The sequence below is a fragment of the Homo sapiens genome, chromosome 1 (genome assembly GCF_000001405.40).
Source record: "Homo sapiens chromosome 1, GRCh38.p14 Primary Assembly".
NCBI lineage: Eukaryota > Metazoa > Chordata > Mammalia > Primates > Hominidae > Homo > Homo sapiens.
Window position 1 is genome coordinate 21,971,463 of NC_000001.11, and position 27,678 is coordinate 21,999,140.

Genomic DNA, 27,678 nt, shown 5'->3' on the forward strand with positions numbered 1-27,678 from the left:
CATTTGAAGTCAGGAGTTTGAGACCAGGCTGGCCAACCTGGTGAGACCGCATCTCTACTAAAAATACAAAAAATTAGCCGGACGTGGTGGTGCATGCCTGTAATCCCAGCTACTCCAGAGGCTGAGGCAGGAGAATTGCTTGAACCCAGGAGGCAGAGGTTGCAGTGAGCCGAGATCGTGCCACTGCACTCCAGCCTGGGCAACAGAGTGAGACTCCATTTCAAAAAAAAAAAAAAAGTTAAGGTCTTGGAGCCAGGTGTGGTGACGTGAACCTGTAGACCCAGCTATGAGGAGGCTGAGGTGGGAGGATAGCATGATCCCGAGTTGGAGACTGCTCTGAGCTATCATCACAGCACTGCACTCCAGCCTAGGCTACAGAGTGAAACACTACCTCTCTTAAAAAACAAAACAAAACAAAACAAAAAAACACAGTAGGGCACAGTGGCTCACGCCTGTAATCCCAGCACTTTGGGAGGCCCAGGTGGGTGGATCACAAGGTCAGGAGTTCAAGACCAGCCTGGCCAACATGGCGAAACCCCATCTCTACTAAAAATACAAAAATTAGCTGGGCGCCTGTAATCCCAGCTACTTGAGAGGCTGAGGCAGGAGAACTGCTTGAACCTGGGAGGCAGAGGTTGCAGTGAACCGAGATCGTGCCATTGCACTCCAGCCTGGGTGACAACAGCAAGGCTCGTCTCAAAAAAAGAAAAAAGCCGGGCGCCTTGCTCACGCCTGTAATCCCAGCACTTTGGGAGGCTGAGGAGGGTGGATCACCTGAGGTCGGGAGTTTGAGACCAGCCTGACCAACATGGAGAAATGCCATCTCTACTAAAAGTACAAAATTAGCCGGGCATGGTGGCACATGCCTGTAATCTCAGCTACTCGGGAGGCTGAGGCAGGAGAATCGCTTGCACCTGGGAGGTGGAGTTTGTGATGAACCAAGATTGCGCCATTGCACTCCAGCCTGGGCAACAAGAGTGAAACTCCGTCTCAAAAAAAAAAAAAAAAATTAGCCTGGTGTGGTGGCAGGTGCCTGTAATCCCAGCCCTTTTGGGGGCCGAGGCAGGTGGATCACCTGAGGTTAGGAGTTTGAGAACAGCCTGGCCAACATGGTGAAACCCCGCCTCTACTAAAAATACAAAAATTAGCCCAGCATGGTGGCAGGTGCCTGTAATCCCAGCTACTTAGGAGGCTGAGGGCAGGAGAATCACTTGCACTCGGGAGGTGAAGGTGGCAGCGAGCCGAGATCTTGCCATCGCACTCCAGCCTGGGGGACAAGAGTGAGACTTTGTTTCAAAAAAAAAAAAAAAAAAAAATGAAGATCTTGCTCATACAGGCAGAAAACAAAGAAATTTAGTAGGACTATAACATTTCTATACCAGGCTGGTTTATGAGTTACAACAATATAGCTAGTTAAAATTTGTCTTCTTTTCCATACACTTTGTTTTATTTTCCTTTCCAATTTGTGTATTTAACATTCTATCTTAGATAATGTGATAGTCATGAAGTCTTTGTGTGAGAGAGAAAAGAAGGAAGTTAATCTATAATGAAGATTGACTGTTGAGAGTGAAACAGTCTGCCCTGTCACCCTTTAGTCATTTACAACATTTTATAAAACAATGTAGGTAAAGAAAAGCTAATCGATAACACAAACAAAAGTTATGCCTTCCTGTTTACATTACTCAGGTCCCATAATCTCATTCCCTTAAGTCTAAGGTATTTTAAAGTTCCAACAGCTTAGATTTTGAATATCTTATTTTCACAGAAACTACAGGGCAATAAGGCACCAGAGTCCCAGACTCAGGACCACTGTGTGTGATTCACCGTGAACACTGGCATATTAAAGGCTCTGAGAAGTCCTGTAGGAAAGGACAATTTGAACTTTGTCTGAGCTCATACTTTCCAATCCCATCTGACCTTTAGTTCTTCACTGAGTGCCCACTGGGTTATGTTCTGGGAGCTGAGGCCACAGCAGTGAACAAAGCACACAAAACCCCCTGCCCCATGGGGCTCCGTTCTACTGGGGCCATTTATCATCAAACATCTATTAATATCTCAAGAATGTGCCCATCAGGACACCATCCATGCTGCTGCGCTTTTCCAGGCCACACAGAGGGGACACCCTCCAGGTGCACCCTGCATGAATATCAGGCTCAACCGTGCTTTCAGGGTAGGAAGCGGAGGGCATTTGAAGAGTCCTTTCCCTTCCTTCATTCATTTGTTGTCTCCTTGAATAAATGCTGTTGAAAACCTACCATGTGCCAGGCTCCCTTCTAGGTACTGGGAATCTGAAGATGAATAAGATAAAGTTTTAACCCTCGAAGAGCTTCCTATGGGGTGGGAACTAGAAAGAATGGAACTCCCCCAGTCCCAGGAAAAAGGCTCACCAGCTTCCCCTCTGTCCCCTCGCCAGCTTCCCTGCCCTCCCTCTCCTTCCCAGACTGACCTCCTAATTTTGCATACTCTCCGACCTAACTTCCACCTCCATTCAGGAAATGGCTTGCTTTGCTTCAGGCTGAGGCCTAAAGTAGATCTAACCCCTCCATCTTCCCTCTTGCGGGGCAGGTGTTGGAAGGAGGTTCATCTTCAGGGATTTCACTCAAGCTACTCCTAGGCCAGAAAACCCTCGGAGAGTTAATCAGCCGTGCAACTGCCAGTGTCAGTCCATAGGCCTTGAAGTGACCAATCAGGCAGGGGTTGTGGTGGGACAGTTGGCGTCAGGGAGCCCCTCTCCCTGGGGACCCAGCAGAGCCGACAGAGAGGCTGGGACTTGCTCAAGGTCACCTGGGTAAGAAGCCGGGAAGGCTTCTCGGTTGAAGTTGGGGGAGGGAGAGTGGACCCTCCCATGCCCGTGGGCTACCCTTCACCAGGCCAAGCAGTAACAAACCAGGGAAACTTGACCAAGTCCTGGCTTTTCTCTGGGTCATCATTTTCTTCTTCTTTTTTTTTTTTGTGACAGAGTTTTGCTCTTATTGCCCAGGCTGGAGTGCAATGGCACGATCTCGGCTCACCACAAACTCCGCCTCCCAGGTTCAAGCGATTTTCCTGCCTCACCCTCCCTAGTAGCTGGGATTACAGGCATGCGCCACCACACCCGGCTAATTTTGTGTTTTTAGTAGAGACGGGGTTTCTCCATGTTGGTCAGGCTGGTCTCGAACTCCTGACCTCAGGTGGTCCACCCTCCTCGGCCTCCCAAAGTGTTGGGATTACAGGCGTGAGCCACCGCGCCCGGTCCATCATTTTCCCTTCTGTCAGATGTAAGTGGTTGGATTAGATCGCGTTTTAGGCCCTGTGGGTTTCAGACACTCTACAGTGGAATCTGGGCTTATCGGACCTAACCCTATCTCTCCCCAGCCACCTCCTGGGCCCCTCCCTCCTTCTTCCCTGGCGTAAGGTCTGGGGAATGGCTCAGAGCTTTCAAGCTGAGCAAACAAACATGTCCGGGCACATAGGGAACAGAGGGCAGGGGAGGGCATGGCTATTTTTATCACAGTATAAAGGATTTTCACAGCTGCTTCCATTGTGTCCACACACGTTCCATGAACCCAGGCTATCAGAGTGGCTAGGCTGTGATTGGAGGGGGTTCACTCCTAAAACAAAACCTGCCCAGCAAGATGCCTGACTTTCCCCCAGGAGGGATCTATTTAAATTGCCCCGTCTGGCCGGGTGCAGTGGCTCATGCCTGTAATCCCAGTACTTTGGGAGGTCGAGGTGGGTGGATCACCAGAGGTCAGGAGTTGGAAACTAGCCTGGCCAACATGGTGAAACCCCATCTCTACTAAAAATACAAAAATTAGCCAGGCGTGGTGGTGCGCGCCTGTAATCCCAGCTACTCGGGAGGCTGAGGCAGGAGAATCGCTTGAACCCGTGAGGTGGAGGTTGCAGTGAGCCAAGATCGCACCACTATAAAAAAAAAAAATCTATTGTGTGAATATGCTACACATATTGACCTATGAACCTTGATGGACGTGGGAGTTGTTTCTAGGTCTTTGCTGTTGAGGTTTGAGAACAGGGGCTGCGGCAAACAATCTCATCCACACCTCCTGGAGCACATGCCTAAGGTTTTCTCACGGTGTAGACCTAGGAGGGAAACCGCTGGATCACCTGTGAATTCCACTTTCGGGGTTGCCTGCTCTTTGACCTCATCTCCCACCCCTCTCTACTTTGACTACCAAGCTCCTGTCACACTGGCCTCCCTTTCCTTGAACAAGCCAAGCCCATTGCAGCCTCCAGAACTTCGCACCTGCTGTCGCCTCCCTTCAGAACGCGTTTCTTTCAGGGATTCCCGTTGCTGGCTTTTACTTATCCTCAGGACTCCATCAGATATGACCTCCTCAGCCCAAATGTCACTTTCTCTGTCCCCCTCATCTAAATGACTTACTCCATTCCTACCCCAATCACCCATTTTCATTTTCTTTTTTTTTTTTTGACACGGAGTCTCGCTGTCGCCCAGGCTGGAGTGCAGGGGCGCCATCTTGGCTCACTGCAGGCTCTGCCCCCTGGGGTTCACGCCATTCTCTTGCCTCACTCTCCTGAGTAGCTGGGGCTACAGGCGCCCGCCACCTCGCCCGGCTAACATTTTGTATTTTTAGTGGAGACGGGGTTTCACCGTGTTAGCCAGGATGGTGTCGATCTCCTGACCTCGTGATCCACCCACCTCAGCCTCCCAAAGTGCTGGGATTACAGGCGTGAGCCACCGTGCCCGCCCCATTTTCTTTTCTGTTTTGTTTGTTTGTTTGTTTGTTTTTGAGACAGTCTTGCTCTGTGGCCCAGGCAGGAGTGCAGTGGCATGATCTCGGCTCACTGCAACCTCTGCCTCCCTGCCTCCTGGGTTCAAATGATTCTCCTCCCTCAGGCTCACAGTAGCTAGGATTACCGGTGCTGGGATTATAGGTGCCCACCACCACGCCTGCTAATTTTTGTAGTTTTAGTAGAGATAAGGTTTCACCATGTTTCAAACTTCTGACCTCAATTGATCCTCCCACCTTGGCCTCCCAAAGCGCTGGGATCACAGGTGTGAGCCACCGCTCCTGGCCTAGACTCAAACTCTAGAAGGGCTGAGACCATGTATTTTTCACAGCTGTATCCCCTAGAACAGTGCCTGATACATAGAGAAAAAGTGCTCAACAAAAAATTTTTTGTGGAGGTGGGTACTAATATAAATCTCATGTTAGAGAGCAGAAAACTGAGACTCAGAGAGGTTAAGCCATGCGCCCAAAGTCGCAGAGCTTGGAGGTGGCAGAACCAGGATTGAACCGTGGTCTGCCCGGTTCCAGTGCCCCTGTTCTTTCCGAAAGAGGAGGTCTTGTCCTGACATGAGCTTTTCTTCCTGAACTCTTGTTATCAGTTGGCCACTCCACACCACCTGTGCGGCCACCTGTTGGAGGGAACGCTAGGTCCTTCCTTTGGCTGTCACTCCTCCATCTGCAGTGAGTGAGAACTGTGGCCTTGGACCATGGGAGACCTGCATTTCCACCACCTGTTCTGGGAGTGGGGCCCAGTCAGCCCCCTTTGCTTACCTTCTGCCCTATATTAGAGCCCCAGGTTCTGTGCCCTTTTCCTATCATCGCAAAACTCATGATGCTCCGGCTGCTCAGTTCCCTCCTCCTTGTGGCCGTTGGTAAGACCCCAACCTGTGTGTGTGCTCCCTGGGCTGCCCTAGATTAGGAATCCTTGAAATCTACCACTTGCTCTAAGTCCCATGACACCCTATGCCTGGTTCCACAGGAGGGGGTCTCAGCTTGTACCCGGGGGCATGACTGTGGGGGCTTTCAGCTTATGATGGAGCAGGAGAGTGGAGGGGAAGCCGTGGATGGAGAAAGACCCCAAAGGGCTGTGGTGGAAGTCCTTGATGGGGGCAGTAAACAAAGTCAAACGGTTAAGAGTTTGGGCTGTGTGGTTGGACTTCTTGGGTTGGAATTTCCACTGTTCTGCTTACCACTCCAACTCTCCTCTCACACTCCCCCTACCTGGCTCCATATTCTATGCTCTGGCCTTTTCCTGGTCTCTCTGCCATATTACATTCCAGCTCAGGGCCACCTCTTCCAAGCAGCCTCCCTTGACTGACAATAATGGTAACAGATAACATTGATTGAGTGCTTACTATGCCAGGCAGAATGTTTAGGGTTTTCCTTATACTTTCTCATGTAATTCTCACAACAGCCTCAGGAGATCAGTACTATCATTTTCCCCATTTTACCGACCCTCAAGGAAGTAAAGTAGCTTATCATAGAACAAAAGGCAGAGCTGCACTTAATGTTTTTATTTTTTGCTTTTTTTTTTGTTGAGATGGGGTCTTGCTTTGTTGCCCAGACTGGTCTCAAAATCTTGGCCTCAAGCAATCCTACCACCTTAGCCTCCTGAGTAGCTGAGATTATAGGCACATGCCACCATACCTGGCTACTTTATTTTATTGTACTTTATTTTTCTAGAGATGAGGTCTTGCTATGTTGCCCAGGCTGGTCTCAAACTCCCGGGCTCAAGCGATCCTCCCGCCTCGGCCTCTCAAAGCACTAGGATTACAGGTGTGAACCACCACACACAGCCCAGAGCTGCACTTTGAACCCAGGAAGTCCTTCTTTAAAGCCTCCACTCTGTATGACAATAGCTCTCACTTTTTGAGGGCTCATTGAGGGCCAGGCATTGTTCTAAGTGTATCAAGCTCTTCAATCCTCCCAATGAAGGAGGCCACATTTGAATCTCTATCCCTGGAGTCTTGGGATTCTGGAAAGCCCTGCTCTAGTTTAAATGTTCACTATTCATATGTGGTTACTGAGGTCCAGAGGGCGAAAGGGGCTTGCATGGGGTCACACAGCCACTTGAAGGCACGGCTTGGACTGGGACCCTGGCCTCCTCTTTGCTTTTGGGGACCCTCCCGCTGATTGACAGCTCTCCTCTCCCCTCTAGCCTCAGGCTATGGCCCACCTTCCTCTCGCCCTTCCAGCCGCGTTGTCAATGGTGAGGATGCGGTCCCCTACAGCTGGCCCTGGCAGGTAAGAGCAATAGCAGCTGCCCTCATTCCCACCGTGGGCTCTGGACCCTAAGCTCTAATGGCGCGGCATCCAGCCTTGACACCATTGCTCCCTTTGCAATGTCCACTTCAGCTTCCAAAGACCAGGCAGCCCTTGGACCATCTACTTCACGGGGAGGTTTTGCCCATTCCGTCTGTAACCCTCACTGGGCTATTTGCAACTTAAAAGTGGAATCGGGGGTGAAGGAAATGCTAAACTCAAGGAGTTGGCACACTGATGGTGGAATTTCAGGCACTGTGTTGAAGAAGTGAGATTTTGAGAGACTCATTTCTAGATTCCTAGGATGATACAACAGGGCTATGGGGTCTGAAAGCAATAAGGGAGTGAGGGATCTTGTAAGGCCAGTGGAGGGAAGCTCAGAAGGCTGGACTTGATGTGCTGTGGCTATTTAAATTTAATTAAATTAGGCCGGGCACGGTGGCTCACGCCTGTAATCCCAGCTACCCAGGAGGCTGAGGCAGGAGAATCCCTTGGACCCAGGAGGTGGAGGTTGCAGTGAGATGAGATCGCACCACTGCACTCCAGCCCTGGGCAACAGAGTGAGACTCTGTCTCAAAAAAAAATTAAATTAAATTATTATGACTATTATTATTATTGAGACAGAGTTTCACTCTTGTTGCCCAGGCTGAAGTGCAATGGCACAATCTTGGCTCACTGCAACCTCTGCCACCCGGGTTCAAGCGATTCTCCTACCTCAGCCTCCCAAGTAGCTGGGATTACAGGCATGCGCCACCAAGCCCGGCTAATTCTGTATTTTTAGTAGAGACAGGGTTTCACTATGTTGGCCAGGCCAGTCTGGAACTTGTGACCTCAGCTGATGCACCTGCCTCAGCCTGTCAAAGTGCTGGGATTACAGGTGTGAGTCACTGCACCCAGCTGAAATTTACTTACATTAAATAATGTTAACAATTCAATTCCTCAGTGCTTGCCATATTTCTTTTTTTCTTTTCTTTTCTTTTCTTTTTTTTTTTTTTTTTGAGACAGGGTCTTGCTGTGTTGCCCAGGCTGGAGTGCAGTGGTGTAATCTCAGCTCACTGCAGCCTTGACCTCCTAGGTCCAAGCAATCATCCCACATCAGCCTCCTGTGTAGCTAGGACTACAGGCATGTGCCACCATGCCCAGCTAATTTTTATATATTGTTGTAGAGATGGGGTCTCACTATGTTGCCCAGGCTTGCCTCGAACTTCTGAGCTCCAGTGATCCTCCTGTCTTGACCTCCCACAGTGCTGGGATTATAGGCGTGAGCCACCATGCTTGGCCTGCTTGCCACATTTCAAATGTTCAATAGTCACATGTGGCTAGTGGCTACCATATTGGACAGCAAAGATATAGAACATTCCCATGATTATGGGAAGTTTTATCGGAGAGGGTCAGCAGGCTTATTCTGTAAATGGCCAGAGAGTGAATATTTTAGGTTATTTGATGGTTTGGATAGTAATGACTTGACTGTGCCATGGTAGCATGAAAGCAGACACAAACAATACAGAAATGAATGTGACTATTTCCAGGACATCTTTATTAAAAAACAGACCAGAAGCCTGATGTGCCCCACTGTCCACAGTTTGCTAACCCTGGTCTAGATGGAGCTTTTGAAAATCAGAATGTGTAGGAAATGGGAAGAGAGGCAAAGAACTCATCAGGGTGAGCTGTGCTTCAGAAGGCTCAAGAGGCCTTGAAAGAGCTGAGGTTCAAAAGAGTCAGGGGGGCTGGGCGCGGTGGCTCACGCCTGTAATCCCAGCACTTCGGGAGGCCGAGGTGGGCAGATCACCTGAGGTGAGGAGCTCGAGACCAGCCTGGCCAACATGGTGAAACTCCGTGTCTACTAAAAATACAAAATTAGCCAGGCACGACGGCAGGTGCCTGTAATCCCAGTTACTGTGCAGGCTGAGGCAGGAGAGTCGCTTGAACCCGGGAGGCGGAGGTTGAAATGAGCTGAGATTGCCACCATTGCACTCCAGCCTGGGGAACAAGAGCAAAACTCCATCTCAAACAAAAAAAGTCACAGGGCGAGGGGTGCGTGATAGAACAGAGGGCCTTCAAGGGCTCTCAAGAAACAGAAGGTAGAGAATGTTGGGGTCCCCAGGGAGGTCATAGTGCTGGTGTGGGGAGGCTTTGGAGAATCAGAATGTGACCCCCATGGAAAAGTGATAGGGCCACCACGGGCAGCTGCCCAGGTCGCAGGTTGTATGCTGCATATTTCAGTGGGTGCTCTTGTTTTCCGTGTGAATGGCGCCCTCTAGAGTTGCACAGTGCACAACCTATACAGCCATTGGTGGCAACTCTCATGGTGGGGCCCAGCCCACTGAGGCCCTTTCCTCCTGGGCCACCAGGTTTCCCTGCAGTATGAGAAAAGCGGAAGCTTCTACCACACCTGTGGCGGTAGCCTCATCGCCCCCGACTGGGTTGTGACTGCCGGCCACTGCATCTCGTGAGTTCTCTACCCTGTCCCTGCCTGTGGCCCCGGGCAGCTGGGGAGGGTGGGTGATGATGGGGAAGGAGGGAGGTAGCCAGTCAGGCCCAGACTGACCTCACCTCCGCCCGCAGGAGCTCCCGGACCTACCAGGTGGTGTTGGGCGAGTACGACCGTGCTGTGAAGGAGGGCCCCGAGCAGGTGATCCCCATCAACTCTGGGGACCTCTTTGTGCATCCACTCTGGAACCGCTCGTGTGTGGCCTGTGGGTGAGTGAATGCTCCGGTCTGGAACCCAGAGGCTCCTCTACTCATCCCTCCATGACCCACAGCCAAGTCTGAGTAGGTTCCAACTCTGAGTTGGGACGTAGGGACGGGGGAGCTGGGTCCAGCAGCCTGTGCCCAGGTCCCACACACTGAGGATTGAAGCCAGAAGAGCCTTTAAGGACCATCACCACCAAACCTGTCTCCCTACAGAGGGGATGGCAGTGTTCAGGGAGGGGCGGGAACTCTGCCAAGGCCACTTGGCTAGTGGCTTCAGAGCTCAGGGTTCCTCTGGCATCCTTCCCCCAAAGCCGAGGGTTTCTCCATTCAATAGATGGCTCACCCAGTGCATCCTGGGCTCCCAGCACTATGGGCACAAGGAGGAGCACTGGGCTGAGAGTCAGGCTCTGGCATTAACTCTGTGTATGGCCTGAGCAAGTCACTGGCCTTCTCTGGGCCTTAGTTTTGCCATTTGTCAAAAGGTGACCATGAAGTTGGGCCTCCCGGGTGGTTGTGAAGGCCAAGGAGACAATCTTATGCCCTTCAAGTGTACAAAAAATTCTTTTTTTTTTTTTTTGAGATGCAGTCTCGCTCTGTCGCCCAGGCTGGAGTACAGTGGCACGATCTCGGCTCACTGCAAGCTCTGCCTCCCGGGTTCACACCATTCTCCTGCCTCAGCGTCCCGAGTAGCTGGGACTACAGGCGCCCGCCACCACGCCTGGCTAATTTTTTGTATTTTTAGTAGAGACGGGGTTTCACCGTGTTAGCCAGGATGATCTCGATCTCCTGACCTCGTGATCTGCCCGCCTCGGCCTCCCAAAGTGCTAGGATTACAGGCATGAGCCACCGCGCCCTGCCATATGAAAAATTCTTAAGTCTGAGTGGCTAAGACTTTTTTCTCAGAGTTTTTTCTGGCGAGAGGGTCAAAGACGGGTGCAGAACTCCTGCAAATGCAGTATAGGAGTGAAGCACAATATGATGGAAACCTCAACCCATCTTCACAGGGCTTCTGGGGTGAGTAGAGAGAAAAGGGAGACCCAGACAAAAGGACTGGAGTGACACGCAGGCAGGTGAAGACAGAGGGCAGTGGTTCTCAAAATGTGGTACCTGGGCTGGCAGTATCAGCATCACCTGGGAACCTGCAGCAATGTGAATTATTGGCCAGGCACGGTAATCCCAGCACTGCCGGAGGCCGAGGTGGGTGGATCACTTGAGCTCAGGAGTTTGTGACCAGCCTGGCCAACATGGTGAAACCCCATCTCTACTAAAAATTAAAAAAAATTAGCCAGGTGTGGTGACGCGCACCTATAATCCCAGCTACTCTGGAGGCTGAGGCAGGAGAATTGCTTGAACCCAGGAGGTGGAGGTTGTAGTGAGCCGAGATCGTGCCATTACACTCCAGCCTGGGCAACAGAGCCATACCCTGTCTCAAAAAAAAAGTGAATTATTGGGCCTTAGCCAAGATCCACTGCATCAGAAATTGGGGTGGGATGCAGCAGTCTGTTTTTGTTTTGTTTTGTTTTGTTTTTGAGACTGAGTCTCGCTCTGTCACCCAGGCTGGAGTGCAGTGGCGCAATCTTGGCTCACTACAAGCTCTGCCTTCCAGGTTCACACCATTCTCCTGCCTCGGCCTCCCGGGTAGCTGGGACTGCAGGTGCCCGCCACCAAGCCCAGCTAATTTTTTTTGTATTTTTAGTAGAGATGGGGTTTCACCGTGTTAGCCAGGATGGTCTCAATCTCTTAACCTCGTGATCCGCAGCAGTCTGTTTTAACAAGCCTCCAGGTGATTCTGATACAGCTGAACTGGGAGGGTTAAAGGGTCAAAGGAGCGGACAATTCTGAAGGCCAAGGGTCAGAGTGACCCAAGGGACTAGAAGGGTTTCTTAAAATTGCTCAGCCTTGGCTGGGCGCGGTGGCTCATGCCTGTAATCCCAGCACTTTGGGAGGCCCAGGCGGGCATATCAGCTAAGGTCAGGAGTTCTAGACCAGCCTGGCCAACATGGCAAAACCCCGTCTCTACTAAAAATAATTAACAAAAATTAGCCAAGCGTGGTGGCATGTACCTGTAATCCCAGCTACTCAGGAGGCTGAGGCAGGAGAATCACTTGAACCCAGGAGGCAGAGGTTGCAGTGAGCCGAGATCATGCCACTGCACTCCAGCCTGGGCAACAGAGCGAGACTCTGACTCAAAAAAAAAAATAAAAAAATTTGCTCTGCCTTAAGAACGATTTGGGCCAGGTGTAGTGGCTCATGCCTGTAATTCCAGCACTTCAGGAGGTGAAAGCAGGAGGATCCCTTGGCCCAGGAGGCTGCAGTGAGCTATGATTGTGACACTGCACTCCAGCCTGGGCAACAGATGGAGACTCTGTCTCAATAATAATAATGATGATGATGATGATGAAAGAGTGGATTTGGAGGGTGAAGGAGCTGGGGCATCTCAGAGGCGGAATAGCCTGGAGCAACGGCTGGAAGGTAGGACTTGGGCCGGCTGGAGGACCAGGCCCCGTGACTGTTCCCTCCTCCCCAGCAATGACATCGCCCTCATCAAGCTCTCACGCAGCGCCCAGCTGGGAGACGCCGTCCAGCTCGCCTCACTCCCTCCGGCTGGTGACATCCTTCCCAACGAGACACCCTGCTACATCACCGGCTGGGGCCGTCTCTATAGTACGTGCTGACTTCTCTAGCTGGCCACAGGGACAGTGGCAGAAAGACAGGGCCTGGGGGCTGCAGGTTGAAGGTAACACCAAGACCAGACCTTGTACTTTTCTCCCATTTCTCTCCAGCTGCAGCCTTCTCCCACCAACCTCCAAAACACGAATGTGGTCAATTGCACATGTTTTGGTACCTTCTGTGTGCCACGTGCTAGGGATGTAATGGTGCACAAAGCATGCAGGACCATTTAGCGGGTGGGAGGAGAGTCCTCATCAGAGCAGAAGAACTGTGCGCCTTGGATGCCCCCTTCCTCTGGGGCTCCTAGCCCTGTGCCCCCAGACCCCTGACTCGGTGCTTTTTATCGCTGCAGCCAACGGGCCACTCCCAGACAAGCTGCAGGAGGCCCTGCTGCCGGTGGTGGACTATGAACACTGCTCCAGGTGGAACTGGTGGGGTTCCTCCGTGAAGAAGACCATGGTGTGTGCTGGAGGGGACATCCGCTCCGGCTGCAATGTGAGTCAGCTCTTACCTGCCCGAGGTGGTGCTGGGTGTGCAGGACCTTGGAATGGGGCCAACTGCCTGGAAGGTGGAGGAAGGATCTTGCCTGCTTGCCCCATTCAGCCTCCAGGCCAGGCAGGACTTGGAGGAAATCAGCGCAGTCCAGACACAGAGCCCAGGCCTGGGAGTCAGGACCCCCGGGTTGCAGTCTCAGCTCACACACTGACATGACTTGGGACAAGTCACTGTGTCTCCCTGGTCCTCAGGCTTCCGCATCAGCACAGCAGGAGATACTGGTCCCATGACCTCCAACGCAGGTCAATTCTGTGGTTCTAAAGTTATAATTATGGCTGGGCATGGTGGCTCATGCCTGTAATCCTAGCACTTTGGGAGGCCAAGGCGTGTGGATCACTTGAGGTCAGGAGTTCGAGACCAGCCTGGCCAACATGGTGAAACCCCGTCTCTACTAAAAATACAAAAATTAGCCAGGCATGGTGGCCGGTGCCTGTAATCCCAGTTATTTGGGAGGCTGAGACAGGAGAATCACTAGAGCCCAGGAGGCAGAGGTTGCAGTGAGTGGAGATCGCACCATTGCACTCCAGGCTGGGCGACAGAGTGAGACTCTGTCTAAAAAAAAAATAATAATAAAGTTATAATTAAACATTAAGAATACCATCATTGTTCTGGGCACAGTCCCTCATGCCTATAATCCAAGTGCTTTGGGAGGCTGAGGCGGGAGGATTGCTTGAGGCTAGGAGTTTGAGACCAGCCTAGGTAACATAGTGAGATGCCCATCTACAAAAAAAACTTTTTTAAATTAGCCAGGCATGGTGGCACTCGCCTGTAGTCCCAACTACTTGAGAGGCTGAGGTGGGAGGATTGTTTGAGCCTGGGAGTTCAAGCTCACAGTGGCTGTGATTTTTGCCACTGCACTCAAGCCTGGGCGACAGAGCAAGATGTTGTCTTTTTTTTTTTTTTTGAGACAGGATCTTGCTCTGTTGCCCAGGCTGCAGTGCAGTAACGCCATCACAGCCCACTGTAGCCTTGCCCTCCTGGGCTCAAGCAATCCTCCCATGTCAGCCTCCCAAGCAGCCAAGAGTACAAGTGTGTGCCACAATGCCTAGCTAATTTTAAAATTTTTTGTAGAGATGAAGTCTCACCATGTTGCCCAGGCTTGTCTCTAACTCTTGGGCTCAAGTGATCCTCCTGCCTTGGCCTTCCAAAGTGTTGTGTTTACAGATGTGAGCCACTTTCCTGGACTAGACCTTGTCTGTTAAAGAAAAAAAAAAAAATGGCCGGGCTTGGTGGCTCATGCCTGTAATCCCAGCACTTTGGGAGGCCGAGCCGGGCGGATCACGAGGTCAGGAGATCGAGACCATCCTGGCTAACACTGTGAAACCTCGTCTCTACTAAAAATACAAAAAATTAGCCTGGCATGGTGGTGGGCGCCTGTAGTCCCAGCTACTCGGGAGGCTGAGGCAGGAGAATGGTGTGAACCTGGGAGGCGGAGCTTGCCGTGAGCCGAGATCGCGCCCCTGCACTCCAACCTGGGCGACAGAGCGAGACACTGACTCAGAAAAAAAAAGAATACTATCAAATACCCTCGTATTATAATTGAGTATGAATTAATAATTAACTATGGTGCTACTAATAAGAACTATGTTTACTGAGTGCTTCTTCTCTACTGGATATCGTGCTAAGATCGTGCATCATCTCATGTAATTCCCTAGGCTCTTGGACAGATACTACTATTCCCTATCACAAATGAGTCAGCTGGCTGGGCGTGGTGGCTCACACCCATAATCCCTTTGGGAGGCCCCGGCAGGTGGATCACCTGAGGTCAGGACTTTGAGACTAACCTGGCCAACATGGTGAAATCCCATCTCTATTAAATATACAAAAATTAGCTGGGTGTGGTGGCAGGTACCTGTAATCCCAGCTACTTAGGAGGCTGAAGCAGGAGAAACACTTGAACCTGGGAGCCGGGAGACGGAGGTTGCAATGAGCCAAGCTAGCTCCACTGCACTCCAGCCTGGACAAGAGAGCGAGACTCCATCTAAAAAAATAAAAATAATAAATGATTAAAAAAAATGAGCGAGCTAAGGCTCAGAGGAGTCAGGTAATGTCGGAGTTTCTCGAAATCCCTAGAATTCAGAACCAGTTCCATAAACCTCAGACATGGCTCAGCCACCCACACCTCTCTGACGGTTCCAGGGTGACTCTGGAGGACCCCTCAACTGCCCCACAGAGGATGGTGGCTGGCAGGTCCATGGCGTGACCAGCTTTGTTTCTGCCTTTGGCTGCAACACCCGCAGGAAGCCCACGGTGTTCACTCGAGTCTCCGCCTTCATTGACTGGATTGAGGAGGTGAGGAGGGCAGGGCGGCCCGGAGGGCTTTAGGGTGGTGGCTCTTCTGAGAGGTGACAGGTGAGAAACATCGGATCCTGGGGAGGGCCTGAAAGGATCCTAGAAGCTCAGTGGGGAAGGGCCCTTGGGGACATTCCAGAAAGGCTTGGGGATGTTTTCTGATACAGTGTGACCCCAGGAACTTGATGGCTTCTGGGTGGTGCTTGGAACTACAGCTGAACTTCCTTATTTCAACAAGTATTTATAAAGTATCTCCTCTGGTCTTGTCCTCTCTTGTCAGGGAGGATAGAGAGACATGCCAGACAAGAGGCTGCCTGGTGGGGGACAGGTGATTACATGAATGAGAACGATGCAGTCTGATGAGAGCCGAGAGAGGGGAGTCCAGGCCCCAGACTTCATCTGGGGATGGGTGATCAGAGAGGACTAATAACACTCCTGATAACAGTAATAGCTAAACAAAAAAAAAAAAGAAAAAAAAAAAGAGTAATAGCTGGGCATGGAGTAGTCATGCCAGTAATCCCAGCACTTTGGGAAGCAGAGGCAGGTGGATCACAAGGTCAGGAGTTCAAGACCAGCCTGGCCAAGATGGTGAAACCCTGTCTCTACTAAAAATACAAAAATTAGCCGGGCATGGTGGTGGGTGCCTGTAATCCCAGCTGCTCGGGAGGCTGAGGCAGAGAACTGCTTGAACCTGGGAGACGGAGGTTGCAGTTAGTCGAGATCATACCACTGCACTGCAGCCTAGGTGACAGAGCGAGACTCCGTCTCAAAAAAAAAAAAAAAAAGAGTAATAGCTAGCTGGGTGCAGTGATGCCCACCTGTAGTCCCAGCTACTTGGGAGGCTGAGGCAGGAGGATCGGTTGAGCCCTGGAGTTCTGGGCCATAGTGCGCTATACCCATCTGGTTCTGCACCAAGTTTGGCATCCATGTGGTGACCTCCTGGGAGTGGGGACCACCAGGTGGCCTAAGGAGGGGTGAACTGTCCCAGGTCAGAAACAGAGCAGGTCAAAACTCACATGCTGAAAAGTAGTAGGATCACACCTGTGAATAGCCACTGTACTCCAGCCTGGGCAACACAGCAAGAGCCTCTCTCTTAAAAAAATGAAAATAAACTAAATAAAATAAAACAGTAGTGCTTGCTTTGGCAGCACATGTACTAAAATTGGAATGATATAGAGATTAGCACGGCCCCTGCGCAAGGATGACATGCAAAGTCATGAAGGCTTCCATTAAAAAAACATTTCTGGCCAAGTACAGTGGTTCATGCATGTAATCCCAGCACTCTGGGAGGCCGAGGCGTATGGATCACCTGAGGTCAGGAGTTCAAGACCAGCCTGGCCGACATGGTGAAACCCCATCTCTACTAAGAATACAAAAAATTAGCCGGGCGTATTGGTGCATGCCTGTGGTCCCAGCTACTCAGGAGGCTGAGGCAGGAGAACTGCTTGAATCTGGGAGGCGGAGGTTGCAGTGCGCCGAGATTACGCCACTGCACTCCAGCCTGGGTGACAGAGCAAGACTCCATCTCAAAAACAAAAACAAACAAACAAACAAAAAAACAGTGATGATTTATAGACCATTTAATCCCTTGGTTCCCTGACCCATGTTAAAAAAATATATATATAAGGCCAGGCACGGTGGCTCATGCCTGTAATCCCAGCAATTTGGTAGGCCGAGGCAGGCAGATCATAAGGTCAGGAGTTCGAGACCAGCCTGGCCAATATGGTGAAATCCTGTCTCTACAAAAATATAAAAAAATTGGCTGGGCGTGGTGCTGCATGGCTGTAATCTCAGCTACTTGGGAGGCTGAGGTAGAAGAATTGCTTGAACTCGGGAGGCAGAAGTTGCAGTGAGCCAAGATTGCACCACTGCCCTCCAGCCTGGGCGACAGAGCAAGACTCCATCTTAAAAAAAAAAAAAAAAAAAAGCCGGGCATGGTGGCTCATGCCTGTAATCCCACCACTTTGGGAGGCTGAGGTGGGCAGATCACAAGGTCAGGAGATTGAGACCATCCTGGCTAACAAGGTGAAACCCTGTCTCTACTAAAAATACAAAAATTAGCCAGGCATGGTGGCGTACGCCTGTAGTCCCAGCTACTTGGGAGGCTGAGGCAGGAGAATGGCATGAACCCAAGAGGTGGAGGTTGCGGTGAGCTGAGATTGTGCCACTGCACTCCAGCCTGGGCAACAGAGTGAGACTCTGTCTCAAAAAGAAAAAAAACTCCAAAAATATATATTTTGTTTATATACATACATACATACATACATATATATACACACACAGACGTATATATATACACACACACACATATATATGTATATATATCTATGCACACATCCCATCTAAATTCATGCTGGCCATTGTAGAGAGAACCTTAGTTAACAATTTAATCAAGAACCCCCCCATGAGGTAAGTTCTATCATTATCCCTACTACATAGAGGAGGAAACTGAGGCTCAGAGAGGTCAATTCCTCTCCCAGGGTCACACAGCAGGGCTGGAAGTTGAACCCAGTTTCATCTGACTCCAGAACCTGTGCTCCTAAATTGACTATTCTGTCTGCCCCCCCAACTTTTCCAGACCATAGCAAGCCACTAGAACCAAGGCCCAGCTGGCAGTGCTGATCGATCCCACATCCTGAATAAAGAATAAAGATCTCTCAGAAAATTCCAAGTTGAATCTTTCTTTCTTTGTTGACTCACCTCTTCCCCTCTGGCCTGTTCCTAAAATCTTAGATCTCATATGCAGAGACAGGACCAGGTCCAACCCTTTCATACGAAGATGAGGGAAAAATGATGCTGGGAGAGAAGGGAGTTGCTGTGCGGTGACCTGACCATCCTGGTTTGCCTGGAACTTCAGGAGTGAAGACACTGGACATTTAATGCTAAAACTGGGAAGGTACCAGGAAAAATGGGACAAGTTGGTCGCCTTAGTATATAGTCGCACATAAGTCAGTAGCTTTTCAATGCAGGCATATAAACATGGTAAAAATCTGCAGATAAACAGACCCTGCCAGCCCCTCAGCAGGCTCATGGTAGAGTGGGAAGGACAATGTGTGATCTGCTTCCACTGATGGGCTGGGGGCTTTGGTTATTCATTCATTCAACAAACACTTATTCCTTGTTTTAAAGGAGGGCTCAGAGGGGTAAGGAGACATGGTTCCTGCCCTGAAGTGACTCATTATTTAAAGATAGCTCTCTTAGTCTGTGTTCATACTGCTATAAAGAACTGCCCGAGACTGGGTAGTTTATAAAGGAAAGAAGTGTAATTGACTCACAGTTCAGCATGGCTGGGGAGGCCTCAGGAAACTTAAAATCATGGTGGAAGATGAAGGGGAAGCAAGGGACCTTCTTTACAAGGTGGCAGGAAGGAAAATTGCCTAGCAAAGGGGGAAGAGCCCCTTATAAAACCATCAGATCTGGCGAGAACTCACTCACTATCATGAGAACAGCATGGGGGAACCGCCCTATGATTCAATTACCTTCTCCCTTGACACATGGCGATTATGGGGATTACAATTCAAGGTGAGATTTGGGTGGGGACACAAAGCCTAACCATGTCATGAGCATATCACGGTCATTCATTAAACATGTATTAGGTACCTGCCTTGTGGCAAGTTCAGGGCTGGAAAAACAGAGACAAGTCAGGCAACCCTAGGAAGAGCCCTTACTGAAGGGGGGAGAAGACACACACACAGGTACACAGGTATACACACACAGGTACACACAATGCTGCGCACGAGCCCAGAGCCAGCAAACAGTTGAGTTTTGAAAGGAAGAACGCTGGCCAGGTGCAGTAGCTCATGCTTGTAATCCTAGCACTTTGGGAGGCTGAGGCAGGTAGATCAACTGAGGTCACGAGTTCGAAACTCCTTCTTAAAAAAAAAAAAGAATGCTGTTACACAGACAAAAGCAACATAAAACAAGGGAGTCTGGCTGGGCCTGGTGGTTCATACTTGTAATCCCAGCACTTTGGGAGGCCAGGGTGGGTGGATCACTTGAGCCCACGAGTTTGAGACCAGCCTGGGAAACATGGTAAAACCCCATCTCTACAAAAAACATAAAAATTAGCCAGGTGTGGTGGTGGGTACTTGTAGTCCCAGCTACTCGGAAGACTGAGGTGGAAGAATCACTTGAGTCCAGGAGGCAGAAGCTGCAGTGAGCTGAGACTGTGACACTGTACTCCAGCCTGGGCACAGAGCAAGACTCTGTCTGAAAAAAAAAAAAAAAAAAATTCAACGGAATCTCTTTCCTCATATTTCTCTTTGAACACCATGAAAGGGAAGATTGTCCCAGCAAGGACACACACAAATGACTTTGATATTAATGGCCCATTTGTAGCCTCCCTTTATACTTTCAGCTACAACTGAAAAAGATGCAACATAGAGAATAATATAGCAGAGACTCAGATAGGTATCCTCCCTTCAGAATTAACAAATTTCACATTTTGCTTCATATTCTAAAAAATATTAATTACAATCATTCACTAAAAAAAATCAAGAGATCTATAATTTTTTAGATCCAGCCTGTCACCCAGGCTGGAGGGCAGTGGCACAATCCTGGCTCGCTGCAACCTCCGCCTCCCAGGTTCAAGCGATTCTCCTGCCTCAGCCTTCCGAGTAGCTGGGACTACAGTCACCCACCACCATGCCTGGCTTATTTTTTTTGTTTTTGAGTTGGAGTCTCGCTCTGTCGCCCAGGCTGGAGTACAATGGTGTAATCTCAGCTCACTGCAACCTCTGCCTCCCGGGTTCAAGCAATTCTCCTGCCTCAGCCTCCCAAGCAGCTGGGACTACAGGCGCATGCCACCACGCTCAGCTAATTTTTGTATTTTTAGTAGAGATGAGGTTTCACCATGTTGCCCAGGCTGGTCTCGAACTCCTGACCTCAAGTGATCCACCCGCCTTGGCCTCCCAAAGTGCTGGGATTACAGGTGTGAGCCACTGTGCCGGGCCAGGATCTATAAATTTGGAAAGGAGATTTTATATCTTATAAAGGGTTATAGCCTGCATGGTGGCCATGCTGACAGGCTGGGAAGTGTAGCCTCCTGCAGAGATCAGAAACAGGCACTCCAAAGGAGGAGGGATTGAAGTGGAAGCTTGAAGCTGAAAGAGTTGGCTAAACATACATATTCAACAGGTTATAGAAGGAGCTGTGGGCTGGGCGCAGTGGCTCATGCCTGTCATCCCAGCACTTTGGGAGGCTGAGGCCAGTGGATCACTTGAGGTCAGGACTTTGTGACCAGCCTGGCCAACATGGTGAAGCCCCGTCTCTACTAAAAAATACAAAATTAGGCAGGTGTGGTGGTGGGTGCCTGTAATCCCAGCTACTCAGGAGGCTGAGGCAGGAGAATTGCTTGAAACTGGGAGGCAGATGTTGCAATGAGCTGAGATCATGCCATTGCACTCCAGCCTGGGTGACAAGAGCAAAACTCCGTTTCAAAAAAAAAAGAAGGAGCTGTAAATATTAACAAAGGGGGTCCTGACACATGTGTACTGAACAAACGTATGTTACATGTGTCCCATGTTCACTGTGGGGTGGAGACTTGACATTTAAATGCATTACTGCTGGGCATGGTGGCATGTGCCTATAGTCCCCGCTACTCAGGAGGTGGAGACAGGAGGGTAGCTTGAAGCTAGGAGTTCAAGGCTGCAGTGCACTATGGTCGCACCTGTGAATAGCCACTGCACTCCAGCCTGGACAACATAGTGAGACCCCACCTCTTTAAGCATGACAACAAGACCCTGTGCATCAAAAGGTGAAGCAGGAACATGAAGGTACTCAAGTGCAGCTTCTGTAAACCAGACAGAACCAGTCCGTGGTCTGTGGTCTTCTTATCAGGAGAAAGTTACTGAAATCTGTGTCCTTACCAATCAAAGCTGGAGTTATGGCTTTGGAGCAGGAGCAGGGGGTGTGTTAGGGTCTGGTGGTGGATGAGCTGCAGTTGTTTTAATATTATTGATCTCAAGGCCAGTGCTTGTTGAGCTGCTAGAGAAAAGGAAAAATCTCAGGCAGCTGGGAACGGTGGCTCATGCCTATAATCCCAGCACTTTGGGAGGTTAGGGTAGGAGGACTGGAGGACTGCTTGAACCCAGGGGTTTGAGACCAGCTTGGGCAACATGGCAAAACCCCATCTTAGCTGGGTGGTGTGACACATGCCTGTAGTCCCAGCTACTTGGGAGGCAGAGGTGGGAAGATCACTTGAGCCCGAGAGGTTGAGGCTGCAGTGAGCTGTGATTGCACCACTGTACCACTCCAGCCTGGGTGACAGATTGAGACCTTGTCTCCAAAAAAAAAAAAAAGAAAGAAAAATCTTGTGGCAGTTAGAACATAGTTCTAATGGCAGGATGTCCAGGTGTCCTGATACCACATCACAATATCCGCTTTTAAGACAGTTACAGTCATGCTTTGATGTATTTCCGCACTAAAATACCAAGGATAATTTTCTTTAAATCAACAAAATACTAAATTTTCTTTTAAAAAGGTTATTGTATTTATGGCTGGGCACTGTGACTCATGCCTGTAATCCCGGCACTTTGGGAGGCTGAGGCAGGTGGGTCACTTGAGGTCAGGAGTTCGAGACCAGACTGGCCAACATGGCGAAATCCCGTCTCTAATAAAAATACAAAAAATTAGCTGAGCATGGTGGCGCGTGCCTGTAATCCCAGCTACTTTGGAGGCTGAGGTGGAAGAATTGCTTGAACTTGGGAGGCGGAGGTTGCAGTGAGCTGAGATCGCACCACTGCACTCCAGCCTGCACAACAGAAAGGACCTCCTCTCCAAAAAAAAAAAAAAAAAAGAAGAAGAAAAGAAAAGAAATTGTATTTGTTCATTTATTTTTCAAAGCCAAATACTTCTGAATTTCTTTAAAAAAAATTTTTTTCTACGCAGTCTCGCTCTGTTGTCCGGCTGGAGTACAGTGGCCCCATCACTGCTCACTGCAGCCTTGACCTCCCGGGCTCAAGTGATCCTCGCACCTCAACCTCCCAAGTAGCTGGGACTACAGGTGCATGCTACCATGCCCAGCTAATTTTTGTATTTTTTTGTAGAGATGGGGTTTCACCCCATTGCCCAGGCTGGTCTTGAACTCCCAGGCTCAAGTGATCCACCTACCTCAGCCTCCCAAAGTGCTAGGATTACAGGTGTGAGCCACTGCACCTGGACTCAGATTTTGTCTTTCTTGAAAACCTCCTTCGACCTCAGCCCATCCGCTCCTCCACTGCCCCCACCCTGGTTACCTGGAGAACCTCTGCAGAACCCACACTAGCCTCCCTGATGGCATTCTGGCTCCTCTTCAAACCGTTTCCCACTCAGCAGCCAGAGACATGCTTCAAGACATAAGCTGGATCATGTTCTCCTGTGGAAAACCCTTCAAAGGCCTCCTGTGGCCTTGTGTGCCTGCCCTGCAGGAATCTCCAGCCCCACTTCTCTGCTCCCATCCCAGAGAAGCTCCAGTCCTTAGATTTATTCCTTGCTGTATCGTGGCTGGGCAGGGGCAGGCTGGATTTCCCAGGCACCTATGACAGCAGGCTTCTCCCACTTCCAGTGGGAGATTGAAAGGCTGGAGGGAGAGAGAAACCTCCCTCCTATCCTCCAAAAGGTACTTCTCTCCCTACACTTCCTCCACTGCTCCCACCAGACATGCCTGGGCTGGGCCCAGCTTTGGCGAGGTGACCTCTGCTCCTGGGCTCCAGCTACCAGCATCTCCTCTCTCTGTCCTACCATCTTGGGAGGGAGCTGTACTAATCTCTGGGTTCCCACATCTTCCCTGCTGGCTTCTCTGCACCTCCCTCACCGAGACAGCCAATTCCCCAGATTAAATTCCCTATACTTCAAATACTTGAGATTTCTGTTTTCTGGTTTGACTCTGACTGACAAAGGCAGACTTCCATCCTGAGGAGGAAGCCAGCAGCCGGTGTGGGGCAGAGCCAGTGGAACGGCAGAAATCCTAAGCCTGAGCTCGGGTGCATCTCTCTTCAGCTCCCCTGCCTCTCCACTTAAAGTGAAGTCCTGTGAGACTGTACATTTCCTAGTTGTGGCCAGGCATGGTGGCTCAGATCTGTAATCCCAGCACTTTGGTAGGCCGAGTCAGGCAGATCACTTGACCTCAATAGTTTGAGACCAGCCTGGGCAACATGGCGAAACCTTCTCTCTACAAAAAATATTTTAAAATTAGCTGGGCGTGGTGGTGCGTGCCTGCAGTCCCAGCGACTCGGCAGGCTGAGGTGGGAGGATCGCCTGAGTCAGGAAAGTTGAGGCTGCACTGAGCTCCTATCATGCCACTGCACCCCAGCCTGGGCGACAGAGTGAGACTTGTCTCAAAAAAAAAAAAAAAAAAAAAAAAATCCTAATTGTTTCACTTAGGCAGAGTGTCCTGTTGTTTGCATCTGAAAATATTTGTATTTTGTGGAAGAGACCTGTGGTGGCTGTCCCCAATATTGGCTCTCCCCCTTTCTTTTCTTTCTTTTTTTTTTTTTTTTTGAGACAGAGTCTTGCTCTGTCACCCAGGCTGGAGTGCAGTGGCATGACCTCACTGCAACCTCTGCCTCTGAAGTTCAAGCAATTCTGCAGCCTCAGCCTCCCAAGAAGCTGGGACTACAGGTGTGTACCATCACGTCTGGCTAATTTTTGTATTTTTAGTAAAGACGGGGGTTTCACCATTTTGCCCAGGCTGGTCTTGAACTACTGACCTCGTGATCTGTCTGCCTCGGCCTCACAAAGTGCTAGGATTACAGGCATGAGACACTGCACCCTGCTTGTTAAGAGGACTTTTTATTGTGTACAGGGGCTGTGCAGAATGGAAACCACACTTGCCTGTCTCCCAGGAAGCCAGGTGAGGCTGTGTGCTGATTTCTGGCTGTGGCAGAAGAGATGCCTACAAATTTCAGGTTGACCATGTAAAGGTGAAGTTATCCCCTTCCCTTTTTTTCATCTGGAATGTGGTTGACCTGGAGGAGCCATTTCATGCTCTATTTTTAGATTGGTGTAAAAGCGTAATTGCAGTTTTTGCCATCACTTTTAATGCCAGGGAAGCCAGAAGAAAGTATCACAAACTGGGTGGCTTAAACAACAGAAACTGATTGTCTCACAATCCTGAGGCTGGAAGAAGGAAATCAGGGTATTAGCAGCTTGTTTCCTTCTGAGGGCTACGAGCAAAGGTTCTGTTCCCTCACCTTGGCTTGTAGATGGCCACCTTCCCTCTCCGCAGTTTCTCTGTGTCCCAGTTTCCACTTTATATAAGCACGCCAGTCAGGCTGGGCGCAGTGGCTCAGCCTGTAATCCCAGCACTTTGGGAGGCTGAGGCGGGCAGATCACCTGAGGTCGGGAGTTCGAGACCAACCTGACCAACATGGCAAAATGAGGTCTCTACACAAATACAAAAATTAGCCGGGCGTGGTGGCACATGCCTGTAGTTCCAGCTACTGGGGAGGCTGAGGCATGAGAATTGCTTGAACCTGGGAGGTGGAGGCTGCAGTGAGCCGAGATCGCGCCACTGTACTCCAGCCTGAGCGACAGCCAGGTAAAATGAAGCTGAGACCTGGGCTGCATTCCCAGACAGATAGCCAGTTAAGGTTAAGGCATTTTAGGTCACAGGATGAGATAGGAGATCCACACAAAATACAGCTCATAAAGACCTTGCTGATAAAACAGTTTGCAGTAAAGAAGCCGGCCAAAACCCTCCAAAACAAAGATAGCCATGAGAGTGACCTCGGGTCGTCCTGACTGCTACACTCCCACCAGCACCACGACAATTTACAAATGCCATGGCAACGTCAGGAAGTTACCCTATATGGCCTAAAATAAGGGGAGGCATGAATAATCCACCCCTTGTTTAGCATATCAGCAAGAAATAACCATAAAAAAGGGCATGTCTATGGAGTAACCATTCTTTATACCTTTACTTTCTTAATTAACTTGCTTTCACTTTCCTCTACGAACTCGCCCTGAATTCTTTCTTGCACAAGATCCAAGAACCCTCTCTTGGCATCTAGATTGGGACCCCTTTCCTGTAACATCGGGAAGGTATGGCACTGGCCGTGGGGAAAGGGCTGTGCCTGTCCCCACTGCCATTGCTCAATAACCTCCTTGGATCCCAGCCGGGATGATGCCTTCCCTGGGACAAGAGATACCTGCATACTGTCCTAGCCCTGGGTTCCCATGGTGGCTTCTTTGTACCACAGGTGGGGCACCTGCAGGGCCTCCTTCCCCATCCCTGACACTGCTGACCCATCTGAGACAGCTGGGGCTGGTAGCTGGGAAATGTTGACCTGTAGTCATCAAAGAGATCAGAATCCGGTTTTTAAGAATTTATTCCAGCAAAAATCTGAGAATAGTCATCCAGAAACATGGGCTCCAGAGAAGAGGAGTAAGTGCTCCAAAGTTAAAAGTTAAAGTCCCGCCGGGCGTGGTGGCTCACGCCTGTAATCCTGGCATTTTGGGAGGCTGAGGCGGGCAGATCATTTGAAGTCAGGAGTTTGAGACCAGGCTGGCCAACCTGGTGAGACCCCATCTCTACTAAAAATACAAAAAATTAGCCGGGCGTGGTGGTACATGCCTGTAACCCCAGCTACTTGGGAGGCTGAGGCAGGAGAATTGCTTTAACCTGGGAGGCAGAGGTTGCAGTGAGCTGAGATCGTGCCATTGCACTCCAGTCTGGCACGACTCATCTCAAAAAAAAAAAAAAGAGCAAGACAAGAGCAAGACTCGTCTCAAAAAAAAAAAAAAATGCTGGGCGTGGTGGCTCACGACTGTAATCCCACACTTTGGGAGGCCAAGGTGGGTGGATCACCTGAGGTTAGGAGTTTGAGAACAGCCTGGCCAATGTGGTGAAACCCTGCCTCTACTAAAAATCCAAAAATTAGCCTGGTGTGGTGGCAGGTGCCTGTAATCCCAGCTACCTGGGAGGCTGAGGGCAGAAGAATCACTTGAACCCGGGAGGCGAAGGTGGCAGTGAGCCGAGATCTAGCCATTGCACTCCAGCCTGGGGGACAAGAGTGAGACTTCGTCTCCAAAAAAAAAAAAAAATTATGATCTTGCTCATACAGGCAGGAAACAAATTTAGTAGGACTATAACATTTCTATACCAGGCTGGTTTATGAGTTACAACAATATAGCTAGTTAAAATTTGTCTTCTTTTCCATACACTTTGTTTTATTTTCCTTTCCAATTTGTGTATTTAACATTCTATCTTAGATAATGTGATAGTCATGAAGTCTTTGTGTGAGAGAGAAAAGAAGGAAGTTAATCTATAATGAAGATTGACTGTTGAGAGGGAAACAGTCTGCCCTGTCACCCTTTAGTCATTTACAACATTTTATAAAACAATGTAGTTAAGGAAAAGCTAATCGATAACACAAACAAAAGTTATGCCTTCCTGTTTACATTACTCAGGTCCCATAATCTCATTCCCTTAAGTCTAAGGTATTTTAAAGTTCCAACAGCTTAGATTTTGAATATCTTATTTTCACAGAAACTACAGGGCAACAAGGCACCAGAGTCCCGGACTTAGGACCACTGTGTGTGATTCACCGTGAACACTGGCATATTAAAGGCTCTGAGAAGTCCTGTAGGAAAGGACAATTTGAACTTTGTTTGAGCTCATATTTTCCAATCCCATCTGACCTTTAGTTCTTCACTGAGTGCCCACTGGGTTATATTCTGGGAGCCGAGGCCACAGCAGTGAACAAAGCACACAAAACCCCCCGCCCCATGGGGGCTCCGTTCTAGTGGGTCCATTTATCATCAAACATCTATTAATATCTCTAGAATGTGCCCATCAGGACACCATCCAGATGCTGCTGCGCTTTTCCAGGCCACACAGAGGGGACACCCTCCAGGTGCATCCTGCATGAATATCAGGCTCAACCGTGCTTTCAGGGTAGGAAGCGGAGGGCATTTGAAGAGTCCTTTCCCTTCCTTCATTCATTTGTTGTCTCCTTGAATAAATGCTGTTGAAAACCTACCATGTGCCAGGCTCCCTTCTAGGTACTGGGAATCGGAAGATGAATAAGATAAAGTTTTGATCCTCAAAGAGCTTCCTGTGGGGTGGGAACTGGAAAGAATGGAACTCCCCCAGTCCCGGGAAAAAGGCTCACCAGCTTCCCCTCCGTCCCCTCGCCAGCTTCCCCGCCCTCCCTCTCCTTCCCAGACTGACCTCCTAATTTTGCATACTCTCCGACCTAACCTCCACCTCCCATTCAGGAAATGGCTTGCTTTGCTTCAGGCTGAGGCCTAAAGTAGATCTAACCCCTCCATCTTCCCTCTTGCGGGGCAGGTGTTGGAAGGAGGTTCATCTTCAGGGATTTCACTCAAGCTACTCCTAGGCCAGAAAACCCTCGGAGAGTTAATCAGCCGTGCAACTGCCAGTGTCAGTCCATAAGGCCTTGAAGTAACCAATCAGGCAGGGGTTGTGGTGGGACAGTTGGCGTCAGGGAGCCCCTCTCCCTGGGGACCCAGCAGA

General features: G+C 49.8%; 1 protein-coding gene and 2 pseudogenes across 5 annotated transcripts, besides 2 other annotated features; all 3 read left to right on the forward strand.

The window, feature by feature from the left end:
• The first annotated feature begins 5,559 nt into the window (after positions 1-5,559).
• On the forward strand, positions 5,560-27,180 carry CELA3B (chymotrypsin like elastase 3B). Of its 5 annotated transcripts, none has more exons than XR_007058565.1 (9): positions 5,560-5,620; positions 6,907-6,992; positions 9,362-9,459; positions 9,576-9,710; positions 12,232-12,368; positions 12,727-12,869; positions 15,069-15,221; positions 17,955-18,117; positions 26,689-26,804. XR_007058565.1 is itself a non-coding variant. In XM_047416581.1 (9 exons), exons 1-9 carry the CDS (start codon positions 5,578-5,580, stop codon positions 26,725-26,727), a joined length of 882 nt encoding a protein of 293 aa, XP_047272537.1. In that variant the 5' UTR covers positions 5,560-5,577; the 3' UTR covers positions 26,728-27,180. The 5 variants fall into 5 exon arrangements, 4 of the variants coding, with proteins under 4 accessions (XP_047272537.1, XP_047272536.1, XP_047272539.1 ...); XM_047416581.1 differs by lacking the exon at positions 17,955-18,117 and adding an exon at positions 24,004-24,051 and having other exon boundaries at positions 26,689-27,180; XM_047416580.1 differs by lacking the exon at positions 17,955-18,117 and adding an exon at positions 24,004-24,121.
• Positions 14,666-15,167: an enhancer, noted in NCBI's record as "H3K4me1 hESC enhancer chr1:22312621-22313122 (GRCh37/hg19 assembly coordinates)". NCBI's record gives its function as "activates a minimal SCP1, AML or CMV promoter by ChIP-STARR-seq in naive H9 embryonic stem cells {active_cell/tissue: H9 hESC(naive)}" and the evidence as "EXISTENCE:reporter gene assay evidence [ECO:0000049][PMID:30033119]".
• Positions 15,168-15,667: an enhancer, noted in NCBI's record as "H3K4me1 hESC enhancer chr1:22313123-22313622 (GRCh37/hg19 assembly coordinates)". NCBI's record gives its function as "activates a minimal SCP1, AML or CMV promoter by ChIP-STARR-seq in naive H9 embryonic stem cells {active_cell/tissue: H9 hESC(naive)}" and the evidence as "EXISTENCE:reporter gene assay evidence [ECO:0000049][PMID:30033119]".
• Positions 16,019-16,315, forward strand: RN7SL386P (RNA, 7SL, cytoplasmic 386, pseudogene; annotated as a pseudogene).
• On the forward strand, positions 16,354-16,457 carry RNU6-1022P (RNA, U6 small nuclear 1022, pseudogene; annotated as a pseudogene).
• Positions 27,181-27,678: the final 498 nt, after the last annotated feature.